General features: G+C 39.7%; 2 annotated features.

Annotated features, from left to right (window-relative positions):
• Positions 19,996 to 20,155: an enhancer, noted in NCBI's record as "active region_7517". NCBI's record gives its function as "activates an Ori minimal core promoter by ATAC-STARR-seq in GM12878 lymphoblastoid cells {active_cell/tissue: GM12878}" and the evidence as "EXISTENCE:reporter gene assay evidence [ECO:0000049][PMID:35858748]".
• Positions 20,376 to 20,435: a silencer, noted in NCBI's record as "silent region_5217". NCBI's record gives its function as "represses an Ori minimal core promoter by ATAC-STARR-seq in GM12878 lymphoblastoid cells {active_cell/tissue: GM12878}" and the evidence as "EXISTENCE:reporter gene assay evidence [ECO:0000049][PMID:35858748]".

Consider the following 20,435-nt stretch of genomic DNA (forward strand, 5'->3'; position numbering starts at 1 on the left):
GTGCTGGGATTACAGGCATGAGCCACCACACCCAGGCTTAAGCTGATTTTAATGCCACCTTTAATAAAGAAGAGAAGAAACAGGCTTTTCAAGAATAAAAGCTCTCTTTCCCTCTAAATATTTCCAGATTTGGGTTTTTTTTTTTTTTAAAGTCAGTGATATTAATTAAGTCAGTGATGGACTGCTATGTCAGAATAGGACAAGATGAAAATGTACCCTCAGTCCAATCTAATCTGCAGTGGCCTATAAGAGATGGGTTTGTATAATGGTGGTCCCTTTCTTTACGGGGCTGTTTGCATAAAGCAAAGCAACTTTGGATGATGTAATATCTGGTCATTTCCATCTACAGCTATCATATGGGCCCTATATAGTCCTGCAAAGAGAAATAACAGTTCTTGTCTTGTGCTACCTCGAAATAGCTTCAAAATGTTTGCTGTTTTTTATAAAAACTTCAACAAATATTTATTTTGCACATGGCTAGATCATGATTTCTGGTTTTTGTTTTGTTTTCACCTCATCGTTTGTGGGTTCTCTACCCAGGCAGTATAGTAAAGTTTTTAAGAGCTTGAGCTCTAGAATCAGATAAACTGACTCTCACTTACTTATGTGATCTGAGCAGATTAATGAAGCTTTGTAAGCCTAATTTGCTCATTTGCAAAATGGCAAATATTAGTAGTCCTTCACTTGAAAGGTTGTTGTGAGGATTGAACATGTGTAAGGAGCTCGGCACAGGACTCAGATAGAATCCATCAAATAATAACTTGTTATAATAAAAAAGGACATATGTCCAAGTCCTTAAATCAATTACAAGGAACCTAAAAGACTTTCTGCAGCAGTTGAGGGAAATCAAACACCACTTCTCTTTTCAACTCGCTTCCTTTCTGTTATCAGCTCATGGGATTACATGGCTGTTCTCACCAGCATGCATGTTTGTAAGCAGTCTACAGCTCATGTTGTGAGGGCAAAAGATGGAAGAAGGTCATGAAACAGAGTGACCCTCATCCATATAGAAATGACAAAATATGCATGCAGAACCTATCATTCTTTAAGACTCTAATGAAATCCGGCTAAAGGAAATTACAGTGCGTGATAAATGATATTCCATGATTTCAGGAAATCTTACCAGAAAAACCCAAAAACCTCTCATGGTTGGGTAATGCAAAGATTCTAAAATACCAGATACTCCCCAGATCCCCAGATCATGGCTTTGGATTGTATTGAACCAGCAAATTATTTTGTTTTGCTTAATTTACTTTAATGGGAGGCAGTATGGCAGAGTGGTGACATGAGGTAGCTCAATTGTTGTTGTTTTAAAAATTGTTTCATAATTTTGCTATCAATAATTGCTTGTGATTCTTGAGTAGCATTCCATAATTACATGCTCATAAGAATGGTGGGAAAGGTAGTGCATGTGTATTTGAGATAATAAAAGATTTTAAAGTATCAGAGGGCTGGAGGCAGTGGCTCATGCCTGTAATCCCAGCACTTTGGGAGGCTGAGATGGGCGAATCACTTGAGGTCAGGAGTTTGAAACCAGTCTGGCCAATATGGTGAAACCCTGTCTCTACTAAAAATACAAAAATTAGCTGGTGTGGTGGCGCATGCCTGTAGTCCCGGCTACTCGAGAGGCCGAGGCAGAAGAATGGCTTGAGCCCGGAGGTGGGGGTTGCAGTGAGCCGAGATTGCACCATTGCACTCCAGCCTGGGTGACAGAGCGAGACTCCATTTCAAAAAAAAAAAAAAAAAATCACAGTAGGAGACCACTACTTTCTAAGGGAGGAGTCAGAAAACAGGAATAGTGATTTATTTAGACTAATTCTGTTATGTCAGGCATCTAAAAGAATTTAGTTTGAAGAAAGATTTGGGTTTCTATGAGAATGTATGAAAGCTCTAATTTATTATCTATTCAATAATTTTATATATAGATTTTTATTGAACTGAAAAGATAATTTTAGAAAATCCTTCATTTCCTCCACAGCATGGTTAACATTAATATTTAGACTGAGTTTATGAGTGTTTTCCCAGCATTGATTTCATAGTTCCTTGTCAGTTCTGGACGTAAAGGACAAGCTTTGATCTGAAGTGCGGCTGATTCAGTATGAGGGCAGATTGTGCTATGGAGATGGTTTTATGATATCTCTGTTGGGATGTTCTTTACAGTTACATCCTGACCTGCCGAATTATTAGTAAGTAGACAGTCATAGCTCCAATCCCATAACTCGACCACAAAAATAGAATTCTAGCTTCTTTTAATATGAACATTATCTAGATAGGACTATATCTAGGTCTTTCCTGACAAGTTATATGATTTAGTGCTTTGTTTCTATGAACTAAAGTTAGAAACTCGGAGTGACTCATTTTTATTTTTTTTTACGCATCTAAGTGTACAAGGAAATCAGACTGCTTCTGGTGTTGCTTTCTTTAAAAGAAAAAAAAAAGACATGCTCGTTGTTGAGTATCCTTTTTAGGTCAGCAATTCTTAAGTGCAGGACTTATTGGTATCCGAGCGGAAAGGCCTGAAGCTCTGATTTATCACAACTCCCTGTGAGTGGAGTCCTTCCATGGCTGGAGAAAGGAAAACATTTGTTGTACTAATACTGAATGTGCTTCCTGTGTAAAATAACCTTTAACTCTGTGGAGATCCCCCATTTTAATGACCAGGGACGTAGTGGAAGAAGAAGGAAATCCAAATTCCCCACAGGCAGCCTCTCTCCTCAACAGCAGGACAAGCTGCAGCCCTCCTCACGACAGAAACGCTTACTGAGGTAATGCCCCGCTAGGCTCTCTTTCACCTGTTTGAAGACACGACTCCATGAATTGTCATCAAATGTGTGTGACATTTTGACCTATGAAGAACACTGGGCGACAGCAGTCAGGTATTGTGAGGTAGCTGGACCAGGGGGAAGAGGACCGTCCTCTCATGCCAGCTTCAGTTATAGGCACTGCTGGGAACCTGACCAATAGCAGAACCAGCCCTCAAACCCCAAGCCAGACTTCAAGTTTCTAAATCACCATATCTTTACTGTAGAAACACTGTTAAGCCTGCAGTGACTGCCCTGGCCATGAGAATGCCTCTTTCTTTGCGAAACTTGAAGGGTATTCCCTACACTGGAGGGGAAAACCCAGCAGTGGTCAACACGATTAACAAACCTTTCAAGTCTCTTTGGATTTTTGTTTGTGTTTTGAAACAGGGCCTTGCTCTGTTGTCCAGGCTGGAATGCAGTGGTGCAATCATAGCTCATTGCAACCTCAGCCTCCTGGGCTCAAGCAATCCTATCGCCTCAGCCTCTCAAGTAGCTGGGACTACAGGTATGCACCACTATGCTCAGCTAATTTTTTAATTTTTTGTAGAGACAAGATCTATCTTGCCCAGGCTGGTCTCAAACTCCTGGACTCAAGCAATCCTCCCACCTCGGCCTCCCAAAGTACTGGAATTACAGGTGTGAGCCACTGTGCCTGGCCTCTTTGGGTTTTTGAAAGCCTCTATAGTAGCCCAGCTCTCTGAGTTCTGTGGAAAGTGCATCCATGAGATGGGGAAAGAGGAGAGTTGGCATAGGCTTTCAGAGCTTACCTAGCACGCTGGCACTACAATGTCTTAGTGAGGGACATGATCATGTTTTATCTCAGCACCTTTATAGTGATCTTGTATTCCCAGCTGCAGTTAGCCACAGACACAAGAGCTTTCCAGAGGCAATCAATGGTCCACCTACCCTCAAGCTCACTTGCAGATGGCTTCTTTTCAAAAGACATACCTACTTTTAAAAGACAACTGAGCTGTTTGAGAGAGAGAAGGAGGAAAGTAAAGGGAACTGGCTACTTTTATAGCCATTCTGTCTCTCTCCTCACCTTCCTCCCTCTCTGCACTTACATCTGCAACTCCTTTAAGCCAGATCTCCCAATTCATCTTGATTTTCATGTCTTGCCTCTTCCTAAGAATGAATGATCTGTCTCAGTGAGTGCATACAAACCTTAACAATACAAGAATCTTGTATTTCACGTCTTAGACTGTATCAGTGGGTCATGAAACTCCATTTAAGTCTGACATGGCTGTGGCACGGTAGAAGACACACTACCTGGTACCTTAGCAGGTATTTGAGAAATATTGATTATCAACCTGTGTTTGATATTTGATGTTTGTTGATAAAAGTGGAACACTGGTTAGGAATCATGAAACTCAGGCTCTGTCAAGATCCTACTGCTGATTTGATGGGCAATTTTTGTCAGTCTCTTAGCCTCTCTGGTTTACGATTTCCTGGCTCCTAAAAAGAATTGTATCTTCTTGATCCTTAAAATGGAGTATTTATACCCATACCTAGAAGAATTCAGGATTGTGTCAGGGATGTATATAGCCAGAAGATAAATATCTTCTTAGAGTATCAATTTCATTTGAGGGTAAATAACCTTAAAGTTTTGTTTTGTTTGATTTTTTTTTTTTTTTTTTGAGACAGAGTTTCATTCTTGTTGCAATGGCTGGATCTGCAATGGCGTGATCTCGGCTCACCCGCAACCTCCACCTCCCGGGTCCTGGTTCAAGCAGTTCTCCTGCCTCAGCCTCCTGAGTAGCTGGGATTACAGGCACGTGCCACCACACCCAGCTAATTTTTGTATTTTTAGTAGAGACGGGGTTTCACCATGTTGGCCAGGCTGGTCTCGAACTCCTGACCTCGTAATCCTCCCGCCTTGGCCTCCCAAAGTGCTGGGATTACAGGCTTGAGCCACCGTGCCTGGCTGAAGTTTTGTTTTCTGTTGTTGATGAAACCAAACAAGGATCTATTAGGCATTCCTGAAATGTAAAATATGTGTAAATTTTGTGCTAGCAGTCAACAGTTTTGAATCATGCCCAACTACTGCCCCTCCTTCCTCGCCCTCTGTTAATATCCACCTTCTTCTGTTTTTAGGGATTTTTTTCAGTGGAGAACTCTGAAGTGCTGCTCAGTGATAGCTACTTTCCTTTTAGCTCCTTCCTGTTTCTTTCCTATTCTTAAAGTATCTTTTTCTTTGCAGGAACTTCCCCATGCCCAAGGCTTTGGTTAATGCCTCTATGCTGATGTCTCATTTATGTATCTCCTCCAGACACCAAGCCTGTCTTTCAGCAGTCTACTTGAGATTTCCTTTTGAATACCTCAAAGGTGCAAACTCAACATGTCTAAAGTAAGAACTCATATTGACTCCCCCAAACCTGGTACCTTTCCCGTGTTCCATATCTAAGGAAATGCCACTACACCCATTAATGCACAAATTAGAAACTTCAGTCATCCTTGGCCATGTGTGGTGGCTCACACCTGTAATCCCAGCACTTTGAGAGGCCAAGGCAAGAGGACTGCTTGAGGCCAGGAGCTCAAGACCAGCCTGAGCAACATAGCAAGACCTCATCTCTACAAAAAAAAAAAAAATTAAAAATTAGCTGGACATGATACCAGCTACTTGGGAAGCTGAGGCAGGAGGATCACTTGAGCCCAGGAGTTCGAAGTTAAAGTGAGCCGTGATTGCACCACTGCATTCCAGCCGAGGCAACAGAACAAGACCCTGTTTCTAAAAAAAAAACCAAGGCCGGGCGCGGTGGCTCATGCCTGTAATCCCAGCACTTTGGGAGGCCGAGGCAGGTGGATCACGAGGTCAGGAGATCAAGACCATACTGGCTAACGCGGTGAAACCCTGTCTCTACTAAAAATACAAAAAATTGGCCGGGCGTGGTGGCGGGCACCTGTAGTCCCAGCTACTCGGGAGGCTGAGGCAGGAGAATGCCGTGAACCCGGGAGGCGGAGCCTGCAGTGAGCCAAGATCGCGCCACCGTACTCCAGCCTGGGAGTCAGCGAGACTCCGTCTCAAAACAAAAAACAAAAAACAAAAAGTAAAACAGTCATCCTTTGACATCATTCTCATAATTCCCTATGGCCAATTCATCACCAAATCTTGTCATTGACTTCTGAGTTGCTGTCAAATCCCCATCCTCAAGCTACTGTCCTCTGTTGCAGCCTCCTCACTGTTCTTCTGGCCCCTCTACCTGCAAGACCCTGCGTGTTCGGGACCGTTGCCAACCTCAAACAGCCTTGCTTTTCTGATGCGGCCACACTGGCTTTCTTCTAGTCCCGCATAGTCACCAGGCACCCTCATATCACAGGACCTTTGCCTGTATCTATTCTCACTCCTTTTTCACTCAGTTAACTTCTACTCATCAGATCAGAGAAGCCTTCTGACCTCACTGACTCCTCTATGAGGACCATTTATTTCTCTTCTGTGGCACCTGCAAAGCTGCAGTTTTATTTCGGTTTACTTTATCATTTGATTAAGGTGTGCTCCTCCAAGGCTGAAACTCCACGAGGACGGGAACCATGTCTGGCGAGCATTGTGCTCCAAGAAACTAACACAGTAAACACTTCAGTTTGTAAATATTTGCTGAACCAATGAATAGTTATTCACTACCAAAAAAAGGGGAACTATTGACAAGTGCAACAAAAAATAATGAGTTAATACACATGAAAGCATTTTGTGAATCTAAACTGCTGTTCAACGCCAGGCACAATGGCTCATGCCTGTAATCCCAGCACTTTCGGAGGCCAAGGTGGGAGGATAACTTGAGGACAGGAGTTCAAGACCAGCCTGGGCAACACGGCGAAACCTGTCTCTACAAGAAACAAAAACTTAGCCGGTTGTGGTGGCATGCGCCTATAGTCCCAACTACTCAAGAGGCTGAGATGGAAGGATCACTGGAGCTTGGGAAGTCAAGGCTACAGTGAGCTACAACAGAGCAACTGCACTCCAGTCTGGGTAACAGAGTGAGACTCTGTCTCAAAAAAAAAAAACAAAAAAACCCAAAAAGGCCCAGTGTGGTGGCATGCACCTATAGTCCTAGCTACTCAGGAGGCTGAGGCGGGAGGATACTTGAGCAGGAATTCGAGGTTACAGTGAGCTATGATTGCGCCACTGTACTCTAGCCTGGGTGACAGGGCAAGACTCTTGTCTCAAAACAAACAAACAAAATGCTATTCAAGTATTAGGTTGTGTTTGAAGTGACTAGTTAGGATGTTATTTTTCAAATATCAAGTGTAGACTACTTGAATACAGTGTCCAGATTTATGAAGACAAAATGGAAATGAGCATTTGGAGTCAAGCCCTCCTCCAAAGTCTTTAACAGAACTGCTGACCTTTCAATGGCTGCTATACCCAGGCATTCAAACAAAAGAGGCATTTGTATACGTGCACATAAACTCTCCATATCTGTTAATTACTAGAATTAGTTTCCTGCATTTGCATGACTTTTGTCCTAACAAAATAAATACATTTTTCACAGTGTCTCCCTCCAAAAACAAATCTCCCAGAGAATTAATGGCATGGCACTGGGAGTGCCAGCAATAAAAATAACAAAAGCCTATAATCATTAATGAAATACGGTCAGTAGTTGATTCCCACAAAGAAAACGAGCCAGGCGAGGTGGCTCACGCCTGTAATCCCAACACTTTGGGAGGCCGAGGCAGGCAGCTCACCTGCAGTCAGGAGTTGGAGACAAGCCTGGCCAACATGGTGAAACCCATCTTTACTAAAAATAGAAAAATTAGTCAGGCATGGTGGCAGGCGCCTGTAATCCCAGTTACTCAAGAGGCCGAGGCAGGAGAATCCCTTGAACCTGGGAGGCGGAGGTTGCAGTGAGCTGAGATCACACCACTGCACTCCAGCACAGGCGAAAAGAGCGAGACTCAGAAACAAACCAACAACAACAACAACAACAAAAAAAAACAAACACCAGGTCCAGGTCCAAGTAGTTTTATAGGCAAGTTTACCGGGATCCAAAGGCAGATAATTCCAATCCTAAACTCTTTCAGAGAGTATAAAATAAGGAACATCTCCTAACTCATTTTATGAGACTAATATAACTTCATACAAAAACCACAGAAGAAAAAAATTACAGTCTAACTCCACTCTTGATTATGGATAAAAATCTTAAACAAAATATTAGCAACCATATCCAGATAATGATCAATAGGGTTTATTCCCGGAATGTAAGGTTACTGCACCATTAGACAATTTATTAATGTAACTGACCACATCAACAGATTAAAATAGAAAAATCATATAGTCATTTCAAAAGAGGCAGAAAAAACATTCAATAAATTTTAACAAGCCACTTATAATGAAAACAAACAACTCTCATCCAAAAAGGGTAGAAAAGAACGTCCTTAGCCTACCTAATAAACGGTATCTGCAAAAATAAATCTCTGGCAAATGTAATTCTCCACAGTAAAAAAAAAAAAAAAAAAAAAAAAAAGTTAAAAGCATTCCCTTTAAAAGGATATAAGACAGATAAATTAGCATCACTCCTAATAACTTTGTGTTGGAGTTCTAGCCATTGCAGAATATCAAAAACAATAACAACAATAACAACAAAACACAAAGAATACTCAGGAAAAAATAAAATTGTCATACTTTATAAATTCAATAATTCTCTACATGGGTAACTCAAAGAGTCTGCTACAAATTATAAGAAAATTAAAAATTTTGCAGGATTGCTAGACATAAAATCAACAGGCAAAAGTCGATTGCATTTCTATTAACACAAGACAGATACAAAACCTAATTTTAAGGGGATACAATAACACAAAATGTAAAATATCTAGAAATAAATCCAACAAAAATATTTTTTAGAGATGGGGTTGTGCTGTGTTGCCCAGTCTGGTCTTTAACTTTTGGACTCAATTGATCCTTCTGCCTCAGCTTCCCAAATAGCTGGGATTACAGACTAAGCCACTACACCTGGTTCAATGTTTTTAAAATCAAATCATTCTAGACCATAGAAAAAGACAGAAAGCTCCACATTTAATTGTATAAAGTCAGCAAAATATTAATCTGAATATCTGATTAAAAATAGTATAACAAAGGAAAATATAGAATGACCTCACTTAAGACTATAACTGCAAAAATTCTGGATACAATTTTAAGAAACAATATTTCAAAATAAAAAAATATAAACAAGTGGGGTTAGTCTAGGAATACAGGTATGATTTCAATATTAAGAAACCTGTCAACATAATTCATCATGCCAGCAAATTAGCGGGGGAAAAATAGTGATTATATAAATAGATGATTAAAAGGCATTTGAAAAAGTTGAGCAGTCATCCCAATTAAAAACTCTCTGTAACATCTGACTAGATGTTTTAGTCAGCAGAAGCTAACTTGTCCTACAAAGAGCCCCAAACTTTATTGGCTTGACACAGTAAGTTATTTTTCCTCATGTCATAATCCAGTGTGGGACAACAATGGAGCTCTCCTACCCACAGTCATTCAAAGACCTGGGCTCTTTCCATCAGTAGTTCTTCCATCTTCTAGAAAGATGTCCCAAGTCCTCTGCATCTGACTGGTAGAGAAAGGAAGGCAGTGTGGAGAGTGTGGGAGGCTCAGGGTTAGTACTGGAAACATAATCTCTTTTTTCCACCCACATTCTTCTGATCAAAATTCAGTTAGGTTGGGTCTACATAACCATAAGCAAGACTGGAAAATGTAGTTGATCTCTGTTCTCAGGAGAAAAGGAAAATGTATGGGTGAGCATCTAGCCAGTCTCTGCCACAGAAAGTTACCACCTAAAATATTAAAGACCTTACCAAAAAACTAATAACATATATCGTCCCAAAGAGTGAAACACTAAATATACTTACACTGAAATCAGGAAAAAAACTGGGACATTCACTATCACCATTATTTATTCAACATTATTTTGGAGGTTTTAGCAGGTACAGTAAGATAAGGAAAGAAAATAATATAAATTTGGGAAAGAAGAGATTAAATTATCTTTTTGCTGATAATATGCCAACATACTTAGAAGCTCTAAGATATGCTTTTAAAAAGAACATATCTGTTTAATTAACATGGCTGGACACAAGATAAATACACAAAGATACATAAATATGTGAATATACATACGTGTGTACATTGTTCTCCATATGTTCTCTTCGTTTGCTTCTATCTAAATAACTCTTGGGGTTTACACAAGCTCTCAATGTCATCTGTGAAACCTACAGACTATTGCTTATGGCAGAAAAAATGCACTCAACTTGTGAGCTACTCGCTTACATAACCATGTACTCCACTTTTACCAGATGAGTTGTTTGTTTACCAATTTCTAGTTGTGCTTGCTCCTAAACATTTTTATGACAGTTGTACTGTTATTATAAACCAAGTAACTTGAACAAATACTACTGAAGCCAACACATAATAATGTGATAAGAATGAATTTTTGTTTTCATGGAAGCTGTTGTCTGCTTTAGAAAGGTTCAATAAAGACAGGTTGCAAAAAAATGCTGTTGGTTTGGGCATAACAATTGTAAAGCATAAGGAGAAAATTTTAAGATTTTGTATTTGCATTTTTCTACAAGTCTTATTAAGTTATTGAACCACATTAGAGAAATCCAAACTGAAAACTGTATATGATGCATTATTGATGTAGTTTATGCAAGAAAGATATCATGGTACTCCAAATCAGTAGACCCATACTTAAGAGAAGGACCTTGTCCTACATCACATTATGGATAAATGAATATATATATATACACACACACATATGTTTTATGTTAAAATATTTTAAATATGTATTATTACTACAGCATAACCTAGCCTATCCTGATTAAAGCTAGGCTAGGTTATATTACAGTAATAAAGAAGTAAAACCAAAAAAACCCTTAAGTCTCAGTGACTTAAAACCACAGACTCTTTATCTGGATGACATCCAGAGCCACTGTCTTCTATATGATGACATTCTAGCTACTTTACCCTTTCGGTACTTCTACATCAGCATATACTTCTATTATCACTATGACAGGGAAGATATGGAGAATCATGCTTCAACTTCTCAATGCTTCTGTGCAGGAATGAAACACACACATCACTTCTACTCACATTTTCATTGGCCAGGATTAGTCACATGGCTATATCTAATTTTTTTTTTTTTTTTTTTTTTTTGGAGATAGAGTCTCGGTGTATCCTCTAGGCTGGAGTGCAGTGGTGAGATCTCGGTTCAATGCAACTTCCGCCTCCCGGGTTCAAGCGATTCTCATGCCTCAACCTCCCTAGTAGCTGGGATTACAGGCATCTGCCACCATGCCAGGCTAATTTTGTTTTGTATTTTTTAGTAGAGACAGGGTTTTGCCATGTTGGCCAGGCTGGTCTCAAACTCCTGACTTCAGGTGATCCACCTGCCTTGACCTCCCAAAGTACTGGGATTACAGGCATGACCCACTGCACCTGGCTGGCTATATTTAAGAGACAAGAAAAAGCGTCACCTTCTTGCATACTTGAAAGTAAGAGAAAAACCAATTATGGTTGAATGGAGATAAACATCTATTGCATAGGTGTCATTTTCTAGGATTTCTCAATCTCGCCAACTTAACAAAAAAATATTGCGATACATGGTATTAGTGATCAAAATATTTGCTGCCCTTCAAGTTGAAAGAGTACTGATCCTATCTCACTGGTTATTTCTTAGGTGTCAGGCTTGGCATTGTGACTTGAAGGGCCCTTCCTTGTGGAGAACATAGGCATCCCGGATGCTTCAATGTCGGATATGGGCACTTCTTGCTTTGGCTTATAAAGTGTGGGGGAAGTGATGTGTGACACTTCCTGGCAGGAGCTTTCAGAACCAGTAGATGCTATACTTTGACTCCTCTCTACTACAAGACTGCAATGTGCCCGACAGCAATGGTTTCATTAGCCTGGGCCCCAGAGTAAGGGTGATGTGAAGCAGAGCTGCAGCCAGCTTGGGATGGGCATGCAGTATGAGCAGGAAATTTTTTGTTGTTATAAGCCACTGATATTTTCAGGTTGCTTGTTATTGCAGTGTAATTTAGACAAACCTGACTAATACACATACCATCCTTACTGCATCTGTAGGAATGGTTACAGCAGTAACCAAAAAGAAGTGAGAATGGAAAAACACAGTCATATGCCACATGATGATGTTTCAGTCAACAACGGACTGCACATATGATGGTGGTCCCTTAAGATTATAATGAAACACTTTATTTTTACTGTTCCTTCTCCATGTTTAGATATATTTAAATAAGCAAACACCACTGTATTACAGTGGCCTACAGGATTCCATACAGTAACATACCATGCAGGTTTGTAACCTAGAAGCAATAGGCTAGACCATACAGCCTAGGTGTTAGTAGGCTATCCCACCTAGGTTTGTGTAACGACACGATGACATTTTTCACAACGACAAAATCGCCTAATGCTGCATTTCTCGGAACATATCCCTATTGTTAAGAGACGTATGACTATATTCTTTCTGTAATAGTGATAAAAGTACAGAATGCTTAAGGCTAAATTTGACAAGACAGGTTTAAGACATATGAAGAAAATAAAATATTATTGAAAGACATAAAGCATGTCAATTCTCCAAAAAATCCATATATAAATTTCATGTAATTCTAATCATAATTCCAATGGTTTCTTTTTAATTTGATAAAGGCATTTTAAAGTTCATGTGGAACAGAATTTACCCACAATGATGCTGCCAGGATTAAATGAAGTAAAGTATGTAAAGCACCCAGGACAGGATTTGACATCTATAGTATATGCACTGATATGTGTTGGCTAGTATTACTCAGAAAAATAAATCTTTAAAATGGGGAGTGCCAAAATGTATCTTAGTATACATGGGATTTTAATATAGCCATCTAGAGGAAAAAAAACTAGACCTCTATTTAATCCATATCCAAAGTTAAATCCATATGGATTAAAAACAAAAATGTAAAAAAATTAATATGTTAGAATAAAATTTAAGAGAATGAATTTATACACTACAGGTTAGGAAAACATTCTCAACTGAAATAGCAAACCAGGGAGTTGCAAAGGAAAAGATAATTTTTTAAACATGTGTATTGTCAAAGATACCATAAAGAAAAGAATAATCTTATTATACAGTAGACTTCAAGAAATATCTGGGATGTATCAGAAAAAGGTTAATACCTATAGTATGAAATGAGTGACCAAAAATTTACAGGAAAAAGAAAAAAAAAACTCCACAGAAAAACGAGTAAAGAATGTGTGAATAGGCATTTTCAGAAAAGCAAATCTAAACAGTAAACATGAAAAAATGCATGATCTGAACAGTAATCAGAAAGATCCAAACTAAAGTAATCCTGAGTTATCACTTCTCACCCATCAGAACCACAAAAGTTAAATTTCTGTTGACAGAAATGTGAACTTAAACCACTTGGAATCATGTTTACCATTTGGGGAAGACGTTTGAAAGCAACCCTTTAATATAGTGGTCAAGGAGGAAATTATGTGGCATTGCAATGCACCAAATATAACTACACTATTTTGAAAGTTCAGCTTTTCATGAAATGGATTTTGACAAGACTCTGACTTAGGCTGCTCGTTGTATCTCCCACAGTGTATGTTCCTCTCGGCTCCAAACTCAGAATTTTGCAACTACTTTTTGTCACTGCACAGCGTTTTCTCATTTCATGACCACTCCAACCCTTGAATACATGGAAGCTCCTAACGGCACTGCCTGGCACACCCTAACCACACAAGTTCTGGCAGCCCTGGTTGAACTCTGGCTAACTCGACCTTTTCAGATCTGTGACTCGTATGGCTGTCTACACCTGATTCTGATTCTTCACCTAGTTTCTCAGCCCCTACTTTCTCCACTTACTCCTACTCTTCCCCACTCCCCATCCTTCTTGAGAACCTCTCAGCACATGGATACCTACTGTAGTAAATAAATTAGACCAAGTGCTAATGGTGTCCTGGAGCTAATTTCACCCAGTTCCCACCACCACACCTTTCACACAGAGAAGCATAGTTTGATGAGCCCACTTACTCTGGAGATGGGGAGAATCACTTCAAAAGCAGGTAACAGTGGAGGGGGGCAGGCTACTAGCTGAAAGGCTATTACGATGTTCCTAATGAAAGATGACAGCTCCAGAAAGATGGTGAATGGAGTTTATAGTCTAATAAGGAGAAGCACATGTGAAAACAAGAGGTACAACAGTGTGTTACTGCTGGTGAGATACAATTACTCATATGTATGCATAAACAATGAGGCATAAAGAGTCTATTTTCCCCAAGCAGGGAAAGTAGGGCAGCGGAGATGGTAAGGAAAGGTTTTGTAGAGGAAGCGATGCTTGACCTGACATGGTTTGATAGCACATTCCAAAAAGAGGGGAGAACAGGAAAAAATGTATAGGGGTATGAAATCAACATTAACAGAGAATTCCAAGTACTTTAATATGACTGGAGTAAAGAATTTAAGAGTGGGGTTGACAGATTACAGAAAGCCTGTTTCACATTCTAAAGAGTCATAAATTAAATCTGTAGGGCGGGTAAAGAGGAGCTACTCAGGGCTTTAAGAAGGAAAGTAATCAATTTGAATTTGAGAAAACAACTTTGGCAGCGGTGTGGAGGACGGTTTGGAATAAGCAAGGATGTCTGCTTGTGGCTCGGGTGTCAGGTAATTAATTCTGTTATCCATGATACTCTACTTCTCAACCAGGCAAGTTCATCAAGGAATTTAAGAAACAATACTTTTCTTTCTTGCTCATGTAAAAACACCTAACTAGAATGATAAACAAACAAGGTCTTCTTTTTTTTCTAAACTCTATTGTATAAACTTAGTTGGACACCCTCATTTAATAAATGAGTGAGGCTGAATAGTTTTTGGCATTAATCCCAGATACTGAAACAGTGAGAAAACAACAAAACATGGAACATAGTATCTATCCATAACTCCAATTGTATGGTTAGGGTTACTGGAGAATTTTAAGAGTTATGATTTCCCTGGCAAAGTGTCCAAAAAACATACCTTCAAAAATTCCAAACAGCCATTTGGCATCTAATCATGCTGACATAATGAAAAATGTTGAATAAATTGCCTACGTGTAATTTCTCATTCCCGAAGAAGTAAAGGAAGGATGTTTTCTAAGTCTCCACAATGACAGGTTTTATTAAATAATAACATGGTCATAAAAAAGCCAAAAGAAAATTTCCGAGCTCACTTAGAAAATGGAATCAATCTATTATTTTCTTAAAGATAAATAGATATATTCTGTCACATAGAAGAACGTCTAAGGATATCCACCAATACATTTACGTTGGTTATCTCTGGGTAATGCGTTTAAGTGTTCTCTATTTTCTTCTTGTTGCCTTTTGGCATTGTCTGATTTTCTATAGTGAACATGCATTGCTTCTGGAAGAAAAAACAAAAAAGTCAAATACCAACCATACAATCAGAATGTCGCAGGCCATCTTTTTCAGCTCTCTGATTCTGCATCGACTTTCTAATTCTGAATAAGATTAATGTAAACTGCTTTCAAGGTAACATTCTGGTGTGTTTTGAGTAGGCTAAATTTCTTTCCTCAAGTCTGTATCTTCAGGGAATAAATTTTTGAATTTTCAAAATACAGATATTCCCACTAATTATTCATGCCAGTGGAGGGGAATACTGACACTATCCAAAAATATAATGGAATTGAAACCATCATGTATACATGTATATATTAGGCTTTGTGAGGCTCTGCACATGATACTTTTGGCAGATATGCTTTCTGAATTAAATTTTTATTTGGCTAATATTAAAATTACTCCATGCTCCCACATGTGGGCTGGCAAATGATGGGAGAAGGCTATAGTAAAAGAAATAGGTGTAGAATTTAAAACTCATTGCATATAATCTATCAGCTGTATGCTGTGCAGGCAAATGAATAGATTATGGTGAAAATATAAACCAATTCTGAGCACAGACAGACCTAAAATAGGGCTACAAAAGCATGAAAAATGGAATGCTAACTTGCGCCATGTCTGATGCAATGCAGATGTAAAGTAGTAAAATAAAACTCCTGGATTCCAAATAGTCTACTCTAGTACTTATTCTCAAAACCCAGCTTTTCATAATCAGCAGACACTCTTTTAAAAGCAGCTGCATCTGAAATTATAGCTAGTAAAATATTTCAAAATATGAAACACTCATCTCTTAGGGTTAAAGGGTCAAATGAACTTGATATTTCTCCATCTCTTAACACATAGGAAGGGGCTTGCAGAGAAGATTTGTAAATATGACTTATCCTAAATTATGCATATTGAACCCTTCCCAACACTGTAAGAATTTAAATCATTTAAAGAAGATCTGGATATATTTTTTATAACTTATAGATTCTTTTCAGGCCCTCGAAAACCTAGTAATTTTCTTATTGTTTAAGATTTGTATAATACCACTACCCTTATATGAACTACTCCTCCACCCCTAGCCTTGTAGGGAAGCATAATTTTTTTTTTTTTTTTTTTTTTTTTTGAGACAGGGTCTCGCTCTGTCGCCCAGGCTGGAGTGCAGTGGCACCATCTCGGCTCACTGCAACCTCCACCTCCTGGGTTCAAGTGATTCTCCTGCCTCAGCCTCCCGAGTAGCTGGGATTACAGGCGTGCACCACCATGCCCAGCTAATTTTATATTTTTAGTAGACACAGGGTTTCACCATGTTGGCCAGGCTGGTCTTGAACTCCTGACCTCAGGTGATCCACCTGCCTCAGCCTCCCAAAGTGCTAGGATTACAGGAGTGAGTCTCTGCGCCTGGGCCTGCCTCCTTTTTCTAACAGCTGCATCTTTGTCCTTGATTCCCTCTCACAACTGTTCTGGGCATCTGAGAGATCATTATCTCAATCATTCCTTCTTGCTGCTTCTCTTCCCTGCTGTCTTCACTCTTGCCCCTTCACCAACTCTTTCTAACATCTGCCTAACAAACTTTGGTCTGTCCAATCATGCACATGAAACAAAAACAAAACCCAACTTTCATTCAAACCAAAATCCTGATTCTATTTTTTGAAATGGACAACTTTCTGAAAAGAATGATCTATAAAATTTGGCTGCCTCCATTTTCTTCTTATAAATTCTTCATTCCTAACAATCTGGTTTATAGTTAAACTGCTCACCAGAAGATTATGCAAATGACATCCCATTTGCCAAACCCCATCGATCTTCCCATAATCATTATCTGACATCACTGGTCATTCCCTTATCTCAACATCGTATCTTCCTTAGCTCTGAGACATTTTCAGACCTCTCTTCTCTATGCCTCTTCCAGCTTCTTAAGTTCTAAAGAGACACTCACTACATACTAGATTTCAAAATCCTGCTGAGTACCTGCCTAAAGTATGCAAGGCACTGTGCTGTGGAGACAAAGCAGCTTTTAAGAGGGGGCTAACCAAGCAGGCTGGGTAATAGGGTTTGGGTGCCCAGGGCCAAGCTTAGGCAAATAACAGAAAAGAGCAAAGTTAAGTGTAATTTTAGATCGTTAGGGAGCACTAAAATTTAGGTCAGAAGACCCAAATTCAGCTGACAAGATGAAGTACAAGAATAGTACCCAAACAGGAGACAGATGAGGTAACAAATGGGGAAAGAGCTAGGAGGAGGGAGGAGGGTTCTTGCCAGATGTGAATGAAGCTGAATTTGTCCTCAGTTTACCTAGCTATGTCACCAGACTGACTTAAGAGTAAAGTCAAAGACGACTACAAAAAGTAAAACAAAATAGGGTGCTTGTTCTCATACAATGCCTCAGCATTTTCTGTGAAATGTGCATAATGATAGTATCTACCTCACAGGATTAATTGAAACAATATATGCAAAAAACTAAACCCTGGCCTGACATGTAACAAATGTTAGCTATCATTACTAATGTTCTATCCTCTAAGCTATTTAACATAAAGCTTAAGTAAACATAATTAAATCATTCCAGCATCAAATCTAATTTACTTCTTATTTAGCATACTCAAAAGTACCCCGTATTAGTTAATACTGTAACAAACCATTTAAAATAGGACATAAACTTGAGTGTAAGACTCAAAATAAAGGGAATTTTCTCCTTGCTGAGCCACTAAAACAACTCTTCACACTGGTCACCAAAAGCCTATTTTCAGGGCTTTATGATCCCTTTTTAGCTACTTTTGAACTACTTTCTAACCTCTCAATACTTCCTTGCCCTTTTGATTCGAAGATGGCATAGCCTTTAAAGCAGGCTCCCCTTCTTCTGGCTGTCTTTTGAATTCTGGTATTTCTTAGGTTCACTCCTACTTTTTCCTTCCTTTCAAAGCCTTTCCAGTATGTGACACTACCTTAGCGTACCATTAGTGGCTTAAATGGTATCCTGGTTCCTACTTTCTCCCAATCTTAGTCTGTCCTTCATGCTGCCACCAGAATTTTTTTTTTTTAATGCCAAATGTTTGTGAAAAGACCTCCATTATCTCCTGTTGTCTATAAGAAAAAGCCCTAAACCTCAGCATACCATAGAAGGCCCTTCGTTTTGGCCCCAACCTGTCCCTCCAACCTCATCTCATTTTGCTTCACCTGCTCACCCAGAGCTCCAGCCACAGGGAAATGTTTTCCATTACTCAGATAACAACACGACTTTTCACAGATCTCTTGCCTTTACATGTTCCTCTTCCGTGAATGCTGTTTTCTCCTGCTCCCAACAACTTTCTGGTTTAGCCCCTTTCTCTATCAAGCATTTATCACACTGCATTTTATTATTTTATTATTATTATTTGAGATGGAGTCTTGCTGTGTCACCTAGGCTGGAGTGCAGTGGCGTGATCTCTGCTCACTGCAACCTCTACCTCTCAGGTTCAAGCGACTCTCGTGCCTCAGTCTCCTGAATAGCTGGGACTACAAGCATGCACCATGATGTCTGGCTAATTTTTTTTTTTGTATCTTTAGTAGAGATGGGCTTTTGCCATGTTGGCCAGGCTGGTGTCGAACTACTGACCTCAAGTGATCTGCCTGCTTCCAGCTCCCAAAGTGCTAGGATTACAGGTGTGAGCCACTGCACCCAGCCCATGCTGCATTTTAAATATCTGTTTGCATGTCTATTTCCCCAGGAAAATATATAAGCATCTCAGGTACAGGGAATTGCTCTTTTCTTCTTTATAGCTCCAGAATCTAGTACCAAGCAAATGTTCAATACATATTCATTGAACTGTGAGCAATCAGCAAATGTTAAAATGATTTTTAAGAAAAGATTCGCAGTTTTACAATTTCTCAGGTGGAATTGACGGAAAGAAAAAAAGATGCAAACGAAACACTCCAACTCAAATCTCAGGATTAAACATGGCTATTGTGAAGGACCAGAAGACACCTAAAGGACAGCATGGCAGAACACATAACATCTGGAACTTCAAAGTTGTATGACCATGGCAGTGGATATACATAACATATATGGCCTTATCATTTTCCTCTCTCAAATCCTTCGATGGCTTTTTAAAGACAAAGCCTCATCCTTAATCTTGCCTACAAAGGCTGCATAAAAAACCTGTAGCTAGGTCCCATGATGCACGCCTGTAGTTCCCATTACTCAGCCGGCTGCAGCAGGAGAATCGCTTGAGCCCAGGAGTTCAACGCAGACCTGGGCAACATAGCTAAACCCTATCATTATTTAGAACAAACAAACAAAAACAACAACAAAAACCACTTGCCTCCATCTACTTACAACCTCATCTCACAGTACTCTCCACTTTACTTTCTGAACTTTAGCCAGACTTAGGCCTTCTTTCCAGTTCCGTTTTTGCACAAGCAGATCTGCACGTAATGTTGTTTTAAATATCCTACTACCCCAAACTAGTTCGCTCTTATCTTTTAGCTGTCAGTCCAAAGATTCCCTAAGATGTCTCCATCCTGTGGCAGCAGACTATAAGGCCGTTTTATTACATTATATTTGAACAATACAGAATAGTGTAATGAGCATGGATTCTAGACTCATAAATATGTCCTTAGGCATATTTATTTAAGCCCTTCATGTCTCGGTTTCTTCACCTGTAAATTGTACTTGTAAGGTTATTGAAAAGATTAAAAGAGATAAAGGATGTAAGCACTTAGAACTGTGTTGATAACGCAATTCAAAGGGCCCAACATATGTCGGTCATGATCACATTTACTTAATTTGTAGTCACTATCGTCCCCTCTCTCCCCTCTAGCCTCCGGAGTACCCCTGCTCCTCTAGCCCAGAGGCCACACCGGCCTGGTCCTTTTTTGTATTCCTAGCCTCAGCACAGGGTTCGGAACATACCAGGCCTTCAATATTATGTTTTTTAAAAATGACAAAAGCCTTGTGTCCCAATTTTGCTTTATTAGCCGAACGATCTCAAGCAAATCACTCAAACCACCTACGCCTCGTTTACCCTTCTGTGAAATGTAATAGCTACCTCAGAGAGGTTTTGTGTTAAATAAGGCGATGTACCTACAAAAGCACACTGCACATCTTAAAATGCCGTACAAACCGTAGATGTTTATTAATAAACCGGAGTCCGTGTCTTCCCTCCCCTCAGGCACGTCTCGTCCCGACCCCTCCCTCCTCCCAGCCCACACCCTTACTGCGCCCTTGGCCCTGGGTCCCTTGGGATTGCAAGCGTGGGAGCCTCGGCCCCGCGCAGCTCCCTCCGGCGTCCCGCGCCCTCCTT

Source organism: Homo sapiens, chromosome 13 (genome assembly GCF_000001405.40).
Source record: "Homo sapiens chromosome 13, GRCh38.p14 Primary Assembly".
Taxonomy (NCBI): Eukaryota; Metazoa; Chordata; class Mammalia; order Primates; family Hominidae; genus Homo; species Homo sapiens.